Here is a 15,174-nt window from a genome sequence, read left to right as displayed (position 1 = left end):
AACTGACCCATTTAAGGAATATTTCCTCTGGTCCAGAGAAGATCTCTGATAAGCTATTTCCAAGTGGGCTGATCCAGAAATAAGCCTGCATGTTCAGTTTCAGAGACCTGAGATCTACTTGAAGTTTAGAGATTAGCACAGAACTAAAAGAAAATCATAAAATGAAGGCGGCAGACTATAGGATCTCTAAGACCTTTCAGTTCTTACATTTGAGGATTCATATGTACTAAAAGAAATAAAAACTTCAGGGGCAGCACTGGGGCAGCAGCAATTTGAGAAACAGACCACTACGACCCAAAACTAGAAGACCAGCAGTAGCTCTGGAGGACAAAACTAGAAGACCAGCAGTAGCTCTGTGCCTCTGCCAGAGATGTAGAACAATGTAGCAGCTCATATCTAAGCAAAATACTCTCTGCTTTACATTTCAAAAAAAAAAGCCACCAGGGAACTTGAAGAAATTGACACATTTCCCCTTGCCACAGTTTTATAAGGTCATCTTAAAATCCTGTTTAGAAAGCTATAATTTTTTGATAAAAACATTGTGTAGAACTTATTATTTTATCCTCATAATAGGTCCATTGTTACATACTAAGCATCTGTCTGGAAGTCAAAAGACTAGGATTCTTATCCAGAATTTTCTAATGACTTTCTGTCAACAAGACATTAATCCTTTTGCTATTCTATTTTTGGGTCTCTGTTTTATCTATATAGAAATAAAAAAAAGAGGCCGGGCGCGGTGGCTCACGCCTGTAATCCCAGCACTTTGGGAGGCCGAGGCGGGTGGATCATGAGGTCAGGAGATCGAGACCATCCTGGCTAACAAGGTGAAACCCCGTCTCTACTAAAAATACAAAAAAGTAGCCGGGCGCGGTGGCGGGCGCCTGTAGTCCCAGCTACTCGGGAGGCTGAGGCAGGAGAATGGCGTGAACCCGGGAAGCGGAGCTTGCAGTGAGCCGAGATCGCGCCACTGCAGTCCACAGTCCGGCCTGGGCGACAGAGCGAGACTCCGTCTCAAAAAAAAAAAAAAAAAAAAAAAAAAAAAAAAAAAGAGAAGAGAAGAAAGATGAGATTATTCCAAAGATCTTTACAAGTCTACAAACCTAAAAAATCACTCCAGGCTAGGCAAAGTGGCTCACGCCTGTAATCCCAGCACTTTGGGAGACTGAGGCCGACAGATCACGAGGTCAGGAGTGCAAGACCAGCCTAGCCAATATGGTGAAACCCCATGTCTACTAATAATACAAAAATTAGCTGGGCATGGTGGCACACACCTATAGTCCCAGCTACTTGGGAGGCGGAGGCAGAAGAATCACTTGAACCTGGGAGGCAGAGGTTGCAGTGAGCCAAGATCGTACCACTGCACTCCAGCCTGGGGGACAGAGCAAAACTCTATCTCCAAAAAAAAAAAAAAAAAAAAAATCATTCCAAACTGGAGCCATTCCTGGGTCAAAGAATCAACATTAAATGAAAGGTGTAACTTACGGATTTACTCTAATAAACTCTAACATTTCAAGAATCTTGCAGAGAATTATAACCATTAACAGTCTAAGAACTGTCGAGGCTGGGTTCGGTGGCTCATGCCTGTAATCCCAGCACTTTGGGAGGCCGAGGCGGGTGAATCGCCTGAGGTCATGAGTTCGAGACCAGCCTGACCAACATAGTGAAACCCTGTCTTTACTAAAAATACAAAAAATTAGCCGGGCGTGGTGGCAGGTGCCTGTAATCCCAGCTACTTGGGACGCTGGGGCAGGAGAATCGCTTGAATCCTGGAGGTGGAGGTTGCAGTGAGCCCCCTCAAAAACAAAAACAAACAAAACAAAAAGAAAACAAACAAAAACTGTCGAGATTGCTTTGTGTTGCACAGTTCTGGTGCCTGCTTAGAGCTCTCCAAGGTACTGATTTTATCTCTGGAAAGTTTCTGCTTTTCCACTCTTCTAAATATAAGCCATGTTTCCAAATCTGTCAACCACCCAGGCAGATGTGGCACAAACATAATGTATCGTCCAGTGGATATATAAATGAATAAAAGAGAAGAATGTCATAGCAGAAAACATCACAAGACTGCAAAACAAAATGAGTTCCAAACCCTGTTTTTCATTCAACATGTACCAGTCACTTTATAGGAACTTACTGTATCATTTCCTATATAACTCCCAAGCCATCTATAGCACTCTGATACTAAACTAGTACTCAGTTCCCTCATCTTTCAGTTTTTTTATTTTTTATTATTTTTTTTTTTTTGAGACGGAGTCTCACTCTGTCACCCTGGCTGCAATGCAGTGGCACAATGTTGGCTCACTGCAGCCTCCGCCTCCCGGGTTCCAGTGATTCTCCTGCCTCAGCCCTCCCAGGTGGCTGGGATTACAGGCACTTGTCACCACACCAGGCTAATTTTTGTATTTTTAGTAGAGACGAGTTTCACCATGTTGACCAGGCTGGTCTTGAACTCCTGACCTCAGGTGATCCACCTGCCTCAGCCTCCCAAAGTGCTAGGATTATGGGCATGAGCCACCGAGCCAGGGCTCTAATGTTCTTCCTACAACTCCTCTCAGCTGCTCTTTTGGGCCCAATGTTAACTTTCCCAAAGTTATGCTAAACTAGTAAGCATTCAGACTATCTTACTACACATAGCACAATGGCCTGACATACCCTAAGTGTTCGATAAGCATGTGCTCAATGAATGAGAAAGAAGGGTCCATGTACATTCCCAAACTTCAAGGGCTTCTAATTTCACATCTCACCTACATATTCACAAAACTCTGACAATCTCATCTTACACAGAACTGAAAAGACTGACATATAGGTTCCCACGGTTTAGGTCTGCAAGTGATTGTAAAATCCATAAACCAACGATATAATGAATAAAATAGTCACTACCGACTGCTGCAATTCCAGTACAGTGATTATCAGCAGGGGTCCAGAATTGGACAAACTTAGATTTGAACCCGAGCTACCATTTACTGCTGCATGACTTGGGCATATTATCTTTCCTGTGCCTCAATTCACATACTTTTTAAGTGGGGGAAATATAGTATATACCCTCATAAAACTGCTGAGAGGATGAAATGAGATACTATATTAAAACACTTAACTAAGTAGGCACTCCTTAGATTGTCTTATCCACTATCTACCTATCACAATACCTGGCACACAATAAGCGTTCAATGAATGTTAGCTATCATCATCATCTTTACAATAAATCACTGGGTTCTACAATTAAAATGTAGACTTTTTATATGGCAAACAGTCTTAAAAGAATTTTGTAGTTAAAATAAAATCTCAGCCTGGCACAGTGGGTCACCCCTAGAATCCCACCACTCCAGGAGGCCTTTGGGAGGCCAAAGCAGGTGGATCACTTGAGCTCACGAGTTCAAGACCAGCCTGGCCAACATGGCAAAACCCTGTCTCTACAAAAAATACAAAAATTAGCTGGGCATGGTGGTGCACACCCGTCGTCCCAGCTACTCGGGAGGCTGAGGTGGGAGGATCGCTTGAGTCCGATGGCTGCAGTGAGCCGTGATCATACCACTGCACTCCAGCCTGGGTGATAGAGCAAGACCCTGTCTCAAAAAATAATAAAACAAAATCTCATAATAAGCCCTTGGGAAAGTAAAATGTAGCAAACACGAATTGTCTCATCTTAAAAAGGCATAAAAAGGCTAAATCTTTCACTTAGGGTTACAGAAAATGCTCAAAACCCTAGAAACAAACAATGGGCATTTTATCTGTAAGTCAGAAGTAAAAGGTTGGAATACACAACGTACGTAACTTGTAGAGGGTCTCACAATCAGGTACCAAGGAAACCAAAGTACTCTCATACCCAGAGTTAACTGCTGATTTATTGAACCATCTTAAATCTGAATGGTTTACAGCAAAAAACAGGTTAAATGCTTTCTTCAAATTAAACAGAACATCACATGCTGCCACCTTACAACTCCAACAACTAATGAGAAAAGCATCAGAACACTGCTTCCTGTTTTACAAATGGAAGTGATCTCTGTTTTAACAAACCCTTCAGATAATGTTAATATATACTAAAGTTTGAGAATCACTGTCCCCAATCCATCACTCGCCTCTCTATCCAACTTAGATGCCATGATCTAGTATTTCAATAACTTAAACTTCCTTTCCCTTTCATCGTCTCCATCTGACAAAAACCTCAAAAACCCTTAATGAGCTCAAGTATCCACTTTCTGTGTCCCCAAGCTGCTGAAGAATGCCAGAAAGAAATAACACAACAGAACAGATTGTCACCTCAACAAGGCCTTCAACTCTCACTAAATCATGAGTTTGTCTGGTCAAAATATGATGATTTAAAATCTTATTCATTTCCTTCAAATAGTACCCCTTCCATCATCCTTCCTTCTTCTCAGTAGATGACCTAGCCTCCTACTTAACAGAGAAAATAGAAGCCACCAGATGGATACATCCTCAACTTCCCACCATCCAATCTACACACCCTTCTGTATCTTCACCCATATTCTCCTCCATCCCTTCTGTTAAAATAATAGATCAGGTGTCTCTCCTCTTATCTAAGACCAAAAACACCTGTGAGCCAGATCTCATTTCCTCCTCCTCTTAAAGGAAACTCACACTATTAAGTATTCTTCTCTTTCCATACAATTTGCCTTTCCCTTAATTATGGCACATAATTGGAACATTAATATATACAATGAAATACCATTCAGTCATGAAAAAAACAAGGTAGTGCTTTCCATCTTGATATGGAACAGTCATGGAGTACAATATGTTTTCCTGAAGTTCAAACCCATACACCCAACTTCCCATAATCATTCTCTTTATTGTCTCATTGGCACTTCAATTACAACATATCTAAAACAACATTCATCATCTCCCCCTAAAATCTGTCCTTCAGGTTCCTTCAATGTTCCTCGTATCAGTAAATGGCAACCTCCATCCACCCAGCTGTGCAGTCAGAAACCTAGTCGTCATACTTTGACCTCTCCTTCATTTCTTATCTAATCAATCATCAAGTCTTGATGATCTATTAAATATTTCTTATATTATTCCAACTCTCTTCATCTCCACGTTTGCTACTTTTGTCCAGGCCACCATCTTCTCTCACCTAGTTTTTTGCAATAGCCTTTTAATAATTTCCGAACATCCACTCTTCCCTTCCTCCAATCCAGTCTCCACTAGATGGCAGCCAGAGCAGTCATTTCAAAATATCAAAAGGAACATCTAATCATGTCTCTCTTCCATCAAAACTGTTAGATAGCTTCCTATTTCTACAGTAGGAGAATAAAGTGCAAAATCCTTAGCAAAGCCTATAAGCCTCTGCATGAACCTCTGTTTACTCTAGCCTCATCTCACACATTCTCCCCCTCTCTACATTCCAGTCACAAAGAAATGTCTTTCTTTAAACTAACTATGCTCTTTCCCTTTCACAAGCTTCATGTTCTTTCTCCCAGGATGTTGCTCTCCTTATTTACCTAGCCAACTCCTATTCATCCTTCAGGTCTCATTTTAAATGTAATATACTCACCAAAACCTTTCCCAACTCCTCAGATTTGGTCAGTTTCACCCACCCAATTTACCAGACATTCATTCATTTTATTCAGTCAACAAATGTTGACTGAACAACTAAACCACACTAGTAGCTGTACTAGGTACAGAGAATAAAACTGAACAATACTGACAGTCTCTTTCCTAATTAAACTTATATCCTAGTAGAAAGTATAATCATTAAACAAATATTTAGTTAGAGTTGTAGTAAGTACTATAAAGGAGAAATATGGGTTCCTTTGAGAATGAATAAATGTCTGGTAAATGAAAGAAGCAAGTTATTCAAATTCAGTTCTGCTGACTCCAAATCCCATGCTTCTCACCCACTACACTATGCTGTAAATTCAAGCCTCATTTTTTAAAAGCATAACTGATTTTAACTTTTTTCTTCTTAACTCCGCCAGATTCAAATTCTATATAGTACTCTCCTGTGCTTCTGGGAGGTATTCCTGAGCCCCCCACTACTCAATGTTGCAGTACTCCCACTCCACAGGGCACACAAATCAGTTCGCCATGAGCACTGAGGTGGAGATTGTAGGGGCAAAGGGATTCAGTACAATGCAGGGTATGTGCAAAGGACTATGGGAATGCAAGATATGGGAAGATTAATTGTCTACGGGCTACAGCATAGTGAAAGTACTTTGTAAAATGTAAAGCACTAATCAAATGATTGTTATTAGTGATAGCAATAGTGGTGGTAGTCTCTCTAAGTAACGGAATCCCCCATCCTCCAAAGGGGGAAAAACATCTATTCAAATTGGAAAACAGTAGAGACATTTACTTATTTAACCCAGAAAAAAACTGAAATGCATTTCTCCTCATTCATTCTTACCATCTCATTTTAACTCTTTCTACATTTTACAAACAAAACTCCGCTTGCAGCAAAGAACAATCCATTTCACTTTTTATCTACTCCTTTTTACTGCATCAGAAAAACTTCAAAAGTCTGACAGTTCTCATGTATTATAATCACATCTCAGTCATTAAGCAGTTGCTGAAGTTTAAAAAAAAACACCAAAATACTAAATGCAGTAAACCCCCCTTTAAACATCATTTTTATGGTATACCACATGTACAGCTCTCTGGTGGTGGTACAGTAGAATGAGACAGGGTTGGAACTTAACTAGATTACTAGATGCCTGGAGGGCCCAGGATAGGAACCTCTGGATCACATCATCTTTAAGGCATATAATCAGATTTTCTAATGATTCCATCTCCACCACTTCTTAGCTGCATGACCTTGGGTATATTTCCCAACCTCTCTAATCTTCAATTTTCTCATTCATAAAATAGAGATAAGTGTACCTATTATTTCAGGTAATTGTGAAATTTAAATATATATAAAGAGATTAGCACAGTATGTAGCACACAATTGTACTCAATAAATATTTGATATCTTACTCTTATCTCTCTGGTTCTGAAGTCCTATGATTCTATAAACCCAATGCCATAGAGCACAATAAAAAACCTGTACTATAGGTATTTTTCTTATTCCCCAATAGCAAGAATGTACTATAGTTCACAGCACATGTAGACTTACCATGTAGACTTATAATGAAGAGGGATGCTAACTGCTTGTCTAAAAATAGTGCCTCCATACACCCCTATAAAAGTAAATGACCAAGACTCAACATAAAAGGATTCCTCCTATTTTCAGGGGTTCTAATTGTTTCATCAAATGTCTTCATCAGATTCTAAATATCTTATACCCATTATCCTGGTTCTTTCCTCTAAAAGAATGGTTGCTCATAATTATTTTGATCACAGAGCAAAATAATTTTAGACAGTTACTAAGTTTTCAGTCATATTTCTGGAACCCTTTGCTTTTTCAGAAGGATCTCATTTCAAATCTTTCAATATCCTGATTACTCATGAAATGGGAAAGACAAAATGAATATGATATTCTACCAGTTTGACTACTATGGAAGCATTTCATTCTTTTTTGCTTTTGCTCATGCTATTCATGTTCATGTCTTACTGCCCTCTCCTCACTTGAATCCTCCTCACACCTGTGTGTGTGTGTGTGTGTGTGTGTGTGTGTGTGTGTGTGTGAGAGAGAGAGAGAGAGAGAGAACTTTGCCTTCTAAAGGTTGACACTAGAACCTGGAAAGTGGGGAAGAAGGAGAAGAGGAAAACAGAAATTCAACAATTAATTAACATGTTATGGGTAAGAATTTCTGGTAGGTAATATGGAAGATATAAAAATGAACAAGACAAGATCTCCATCCTCATGAGACCTACAATATACCTGGACAAATGGCACAAGGCAGAAATCATATAATACAAGGTAGAATGCAGTATGTACAATAAAATTGAAGTAGATAAACTGCTATGGAGGTTCAGTTGAGAGAGAGAAACAGATAAAATATTAGGTAAAGAAATCTAGGGAAGTTTCATGATGGAGATTTGACTATATAGTAGGTGAGAAATAGGTACAGACGTGGGGGAAGACAGATGCTGAGACTTTTCCATAGGAAAGGTCATATGATATGTCTGGCCCTCCTTTGACTAATCCACGGTGCATTTCTTTAACCAACCCAGTAGAATGGACATCACAGTTTTATGCCCAGTCATTCTGAGGGCCACATAATAAATTCCTCAGGCAATCAACAGAAGAAAGTAGACAGCTGAAAACAAAATGACAGAATATTCCTAAAACACAAGCTTATCTTTCTGAGCCTTATTTTTCTGATTTGTAAAATATGGATAAATAATGCCTACCACACAAAGTTGTTGGGAGATAAAATAACACATTAAAGTGCCTAAAATATACCGGGTTATATAGGAGACCCTGCAGTAAATGCTTATTTTTCTTCTCTTTTAGATTAGTATCCTAAGGCTGTCATAACAAATTACCACTAATTTGGTGGCTTTAAAAAAGTGAAATTAGGAGAGGAAAAAAAAGCAGCTGGGCACCAGTAGTTCACACCTGTAAACCCAGTGCTTTGAGAGGTTTGTTTTCCAGGAGGATTGCTTGAAGTCAGGCGCTCGAGACCAGCCTGGGGAACACAGTGAGACTCCATCTCTATGAAATTTTTTAAAAATTAGCTGGGCATGGTGATGCTCACTAGTAGTCCCACCTACTTGGGAGGCCGAGGTGGGAGGATCGCCTGAGTCCAGGAATTTAAGGCTGCAATGAGCTGTGATCACCCCATCGCACTCCAGCCTGGGTGTCAGAGCAAGATGCTGTCTCACAAAAAAAAAAAAAAGAGAAAAGAGAAGGAAAAAAAAGGTGTGGGGGGATTTATTCTCACGGTTTTAGAAGCCAGAAGTCTAAAATCAAGGTGTGTTGGCCGGGCTATGTTCCCTCCGAAGGCTGTAGGGCCCATCCAATCCTTGCCTCTTCCAGCCTCTAGTGGTTACAAGCAATCCTTGCCATTCCCTAGCTTGTAGTTGCCTAGCTGCAATCTCTGCCTCCATCTTCACATGGGCTTCTCCTCTCTGTGCTGCTCTCTGTATCTTCTCTTCTTCTTATAAGGACACCAGCCATTGGATTTAGGATCTACCTTATATCTGGAATGATTTCATCTCAAGATCCTTAGCTGCAAAGACACTGTTTCCAAATAAGTCACATTTTGAGGTGGACCTGAATTGGGGGATGGGGAGGGCCAGGCAGAAAGGAACACTATTCAACCCACTACACCCTCCTTCTTTAGATCCACTTGCAGCTGAAACATTCTCAGGTCTCCTATAACTGTCTAGTTCACAGGAAGACATTACCTTTCCATTGAGCTCCCAGGATAATTCCATAGTATTAAACAACAATATCTACAAATCCCTTAAAGAAAACTGGGATTTCAAGAAAACACAAGGCAAGTCAGCATTTTTAACAGACCTGAAGCTTGGGCTCTAGTCCTATCTAGAGCAGTTATCAACTGTGAGACCTTGGGCAAATTATTTCAACTCTTTAAGATGCAATTTCTTCAACTTTAAATAGAAGTATCACAAAATTTGGGGGAGAATTAAGAAATATAATAAATGTGAGAGCATTTTGTGAACTTTAACATGATATACAAATACTAGTCATTATTTACAAAACTTGCAATGTTTAATTATTTAACCAAATATACTGATACATGCCAGGTACCATCTTAAATTCCATGGGGAAATAAGAGAAGCAAACATGTTCCAAGACTTCAAAAGGCTTACAGACCAACGCTAATATACAAAAAATAGAAAACAACTTGTCACTAAATTATTTGGAAACTACTATATATGTTGGCAGAGCAGAGCAGGCTGTGACCAATGCTAGCATTGAAGGAAGAAGAAATGAGCTGTCTTAGAAGGACAGGCAGGATTTAGCTAGAGAAGAAAGGAACGTTTTGAGCGAGGGATATAAGTGGAAATGAATATTATATCTGGAGGACTGAGAGAAAACCAGCCTGTCAGGTGCAGATGGTGAATGCTGGGGAGGAATATCAGACATAACGCCGGATATAACAAATTTCAAAGCTAAACAGTATGCCTAGACCTGATGCACAGGAGTGGCAACTAGAGGTTATCTGAATGGAGAATGCCATGATGAAAGCAGGGCTTTATGGAAAAAAGCCTGGCAGCATTTACACCTTAGACTGGCAGGAGGGAGACTAAAGGCAAGGACACGAACTAGAAGGCTGTGGCTCTAATCCAAAACATGCTCATCTTCACTGGTTGCTAAAATCATGACTGGCAGAGAAATCTGAAGTTTCTGGAAAGCTGCTTACTTCTTAAACAAGAATTCTACATCTTAGGGTTTTTTCCTGTGTTGACCTCACTAAACCAATCACCCAATTGTGTAGAATCTTCCAGTTCATATTTCTCATGGCAGAAAAACAGCTTGGAGGACACAGAGGCAAGCTCTATTCCAATGTAAAAATCCTCTCTAAAGCAACATAGATTGGGGGAGTTATACAATCTCTGAAAAAACACTGCAGTCTAAGAAATGTCCATTTCACCAAAGCCACCATCCCAGCAAGCAATAAGGGTCAAACACATCAGCTCCTTGGACAGCTCTTCCTCTGGGAAGGCTGGAGTTCATCATTGCTAGAGTAGAAGTAGGGATACCATGATCCGGCAGCTTTCAACAGAGATTCAAGCCATACCCAGTAGTGGCTGGCTGCAGGGAGGCAGGTCTGAGTCAGTCTGTCAAGCAATGAAATCCTCACTCCATCTGCTCTGAGGGAGTTGTCTGCCAAGTTTGATGCCTGGACACATAAGCTCTCACTCCTACACCCACCCCTTTATTCTCTGAGAAGTAGAAACAAAATCTGTTTCAAAGCTTCATCTTTTCTCCTCTTCCCAAGCTCCAGCTCTAAGAAAGTACCTCTCAGTTAAAGGTTATAGAAGAGAAGAGAGAAGCACATATTCCCCTAATAACTCCAAATGGGCAAGAAAACTATAATACAATCTACATTAAGCAAAGGCTGCCTGACTTTTCTATCAACACCTTAGTTCCTCACTGAGACTTAGTCCTCTTCCACTATCCTTCCATCTTTCTTTTATCCTCTTTTTTGAATCAAATATTGGATATATTTTTAAAATGTGATATATATGAAAGTTATAAAGCCTAGTAATAAAAAGAACACTCATGGCCTTACAACTCATTTTAAGAAACAGAACATGGTGAAACCCCGTCTCTACTAAAAATACAAAAAATTAGCCGGGTGTGGTGGCGGGCGTCTGTAGTCCCAGCTACTCGGGAGGCTGAGGCAGGAGAATGGCTTGAACCCGGGAGGCAGAGCTTGCAGTGAGCCGAGATCACGCCACCGCACTCCAGCCTGAGCGACACAGCGAAACTCCGTCTCAAAAAAAAAAAAAAAAAAAAGAAACAGAACTTGCCAATACCGTTGATGCTGTCTACCAATACCCTCCTGCCTCACTCTGGCTTCCATCAGAAGTAATCACTATGCAGGATTTTGTGTTTAACATTCTCTCCTGTTCATCAGAGGCAGATTAATCCAAAGACCTCCTGCCTCCTATTACCACTCTGAAATCCACTTTCACTGCCCTTTCTGTCTGCAACTACACAGTTGCCAGCCCATCTTCCACCAGATTACAATTATCTTTGGGAAGACAAATCCTCACCAAATCCTAGTTAATGAAAATCCAACAAGTGCTGAAAATCCATGTAGTCTCTCCTCCTCAAACATGGACACAAATCTCCCAAATCACCAATTTATGTCCCAAATCAGCATACTTTGTACTTTAATCATTCTATACTTTATAATTGCTAAGTAAATAATGAGTATTCCAGGCTCCCCCAACACCAATGCCCACATGACTAAAGTGGGCCATTGGTAGAGGCCCAGAACCTCACTGTACAACTTGCATTTCATTCATACTAGACTATCAACTACTTAAAGGCAGGAAACATGTCATAAAAGGATTCTGATTTAGGAATTAAGACCTGATCTTATCTGATCTCAGAAAAAGGGTGGCAACATCCTTCTTTTAGGAAAAAGTTTAGTTTCTTCCTCCCGATCCTTAATACCTGATCTGATACAAGATCTCTTGTCTATGATCATATCCATGAGAGGACCAATTCTGTTACTACATACATAAAGCTACCTTTATCAGAAATAACTCATGGCACACCTTCAAAAAAAATCCATTGCTTTATTTGGCTCTGTCTCACTTCTTGCAGCATTAATCCCAAAAAAGACAGGATAAATGCTGAATGACAAAAAAAAAAAAAAAAAAAAAAAATCTTTGCTTCTTTGTTTTCTCATCTGCAGGATAGGAACATCACCATCAAGAATACAGTGAAAACTGAAGTGACCTCTACCTAGCACAAAGGTAGAGTTTAAACAAGATAATGTATGTAAGGCCTGTGGCATGGTGGTAGCACATAGCAGCTGGTGAAATAACATGAGGGACCTTGTATTTCCCTCTGTACAATGTCAGAAAATCTACTAAACACACTTTGTGGAAAGCCCCAGCTACAAGCAAAATGTTAGCAAACCAAACCTAGCAATAGATAAAGGATTATATAACACGACTAAGTGAGATTTATTCCAGGAATACAATGTTGGTTCAACATATGAACATTAGTCAATGTAATATATATTAATAGAATAAAAAAAGAAACTAAATAATCGTATCAATAGACACAGAAAAAGCATTTCACAAAATCCAACACCCTTTCATGATAAAAACACTCAACAACCTAGAAATCAAAGGAAACTTCCTCAACCTAATAAAGAGCATCTATAAAAAACCACAGTTAACATTATAATAGTGAAAGGCTGAAAGCTTTCCCCAAAAATGAGGAATAAAACAAGGATATCCATTCTCTCAACTTCTACTCAACATTATACTGAAGGTCCTAGCCAGGACAATTAGCCAGGAGAAAGAAATTAAAGGCATCCGAATTGGAAAAGAAGAAGTAAAATTTTTATTTGCAGATGATCTTATACATAGAAAATTCTAAGGAATACACACAAACATGAACACACACTCTTAGAGCTAATAAATGAGTTCAGCAAGGTTGCAGGATACACAATCAATATACAAAAATCAATTGTATTTCTATATACTAGCAATAAACAATCCAAAAATGAAATAAAGGGACCAATTCAATTTACAACAGCATCAAAAAGAATAAAATTGTTGGGAATAAGAATTTTAAAATAAGTACAAGACTTATAGACTAAAAATTAGAAAACACTGTTGAAAGAAATTGAAGAACAAAATAAATGAAAAAAATCTGTGTTCATGGATTGTAATATTTAATAAATGCCAATATCTCCAAATTAATCTATCAATTAAATCCCTATCAAAATTTCAGCTGCCTTTTTTGCAGAAATTCACAAGTTGATCCTAAAATCCATATGGCAATTCAAAGGACTCAAAGTATAGCCAAAAAAAAGTTTTTTTTTAAAAAACAACAAAGTTAGATGACTCACACTTTCCAATTTCAAAACTTGCTACAAAGCTACAGTAATGAAGATAATATGATATTGATATAAGAACAAATAATGCATCATTGCAATCTATTGCATCAATGGAATAGAACTTAGAATTCAAAAATGAACCCACAATTCTATGGTGAGTTGATTTTGACAAGGGTGTCAAGACAATTCAATAGAGGAAAAAGAGTCTTTTCAACAAATGGTGCTGGGAAAAATAGGTATCCACATGCTAAGGAATGAATTTGGACTCTTCACAGCATATACAAAAATTAAGGCAAAATGGATTCAAAGATCTAAGTGTAAGAGATAAAACTATAAAACTATTAGAAGAAAATATAGGTGTAAGTCTTTGTGATCTTGGATTAGGCAACAGTTTCTTTAGATATACACAAAAAACACAAGCAACAAAAGAAAAAACAGAAAAATTGGGCTTCATCAAAATTAAAAACATGTGCTCCAAAGAACACTACCAAAGTGAAAAGATAAGCCACAGAATGGGAGAAAATATTTGCAAATCATATATATGGTAAGGTATTTGCTATGGTTTGAGTGTGTCCCCCAAAGTTCTTATGTTGGAAACTTAATCCCCATTGCAACAGTGTTATGAGGTGGGACCTTTAACAGCAATTAGGTCGTGAGGCCTCATGAATGGATTAATGCTGTTATCATGGGAGCAGGTTAGTTATTTCAGGAGTAGGTTCTTGATAAAAGGATGAGTTCAACCCCCTTCCACTTGAGCCTGCTCACTCTCTAGTTCTTGCTCTCACTTGCTCTTGTGCTCACACTCTCTCTCACACACCATGTGATGTTTTACTCCATGTTATGATGTAGCAAGGAGGCCCTCACCAGATACAGCCCCTTGATCTTGGACTTCCTAGCCTTCAGAACTATAATAAATAAATGTTTGTATCTATTATCCAGTCTGTGGTATTCTGTTACAGCAATACAAAACAGAGTGAGATAAAAATTGGTGCAAAGAAGTGGGGCTGTTGCTATAACAAATACCTGAAAATGTGGATGTAGCTTTAAAAATGGATAATAGGTAGAGACTAGAAGAATCTGGAGAAGCAGGCTAGAAAAAGGCTAGACTGCCATTAATAGAGTCTTAAGGACAATTCTGGTGAGGGGTCAGAAAAAGATGAGAGCTGTAGGAAGAGCCTAAATCTTTTTAGGGATTACTTAAGTGGCCATAATCAGAATGTAGGTAGAAATATGGACAGTAAAGGCAATTCTGATGATGAGGTCTCAGATGGAAATGAGGAACAAGGTATTAGAAACTGGAGTAAAGTCTATTCTCGTTACACAGTTGCAAAGAACTTAGTGGAATTGTCTTCATGTCCTAGGACTTTGTGGAATGCAGAACTTAACAGTGATAAACTAGGATATCTGGTAGGAGGAACATCTAAGCAGCAAAGTGTTCAAGATGCTTCATTACTTCCTTTGGCCCCTTATAGTAAAGTGAAGGAAAAGAGAAATGACTTAGACATAATTTACAATGAAAAGGGAAGGAGAAGGAAAGATGTGGAAAACTCTCAGCCTGGAAAGGCAAAGAATAAAAAAGTGTATTCAGGAGAGAATACTAAGGATGTAGCCAATTGACAGTTTGTTAAACAGAGTAGTACAGCTAGAAGGAAGCCAGGTGCTATTCATCAAGACAATGAGAGAATGACCCGGAAGGCATTTCAGAGATCTTTGAGATTTTCACCCTCCCATCACAGGCCCAGAGCTCTAGGAGGGCAGAATGGTTTCCTCACTATGC

At 39.1% G+C, this 15,174-nt stretch overlaps 1 protein-coding gene across 3 annotated transcripts in view, besides 1 other annotated feature; it reads right to left on the bottom strand.

Moving 5' to 3' along the window:
* Window positions 1-15,174, bottom strand: part of SYN2 (synapsin II) — a 187,645-nt gene that overhangs the window by 140,273 nt on the left and 32,198 nt on the right. The window lies entirely within an intron of this gene.
* Window positions 5,057-5,351: a silencer, noted in NCBI's record as "tiled region #7614; HepG2 Repressive non-DNase unmatched - State 13:Ctcf". NCBI's record gives its function as "represses a minimal TATA promoter and a strong SV40 promoter by Sharpr-MPRA in HepG2 cells {active_cell/tissue: HepG2}" and the evidence as "EXISTENCE:reporter gene assay evidence [ECO:0000049][PMID:27701403]".

The sequence above is a fragment of the Homo sapiens genome, chromosome 3, assembly GCF_000001405.40.
Source record: "Homo sapiens chromosome 3, GRCh38.p14 Primary Assembly".
NCBI classification, from domain to species: domain Eukaryota; kingdom Metazoa; phylum Chordata; class Mammalia; order Primates; family Hominidae; genus Homo; species Homo sapiens.
Note: the sequence above shows the minus strand (reverse complement) of the source record. Positions and strands in the feature narration are given on the sequence as shown.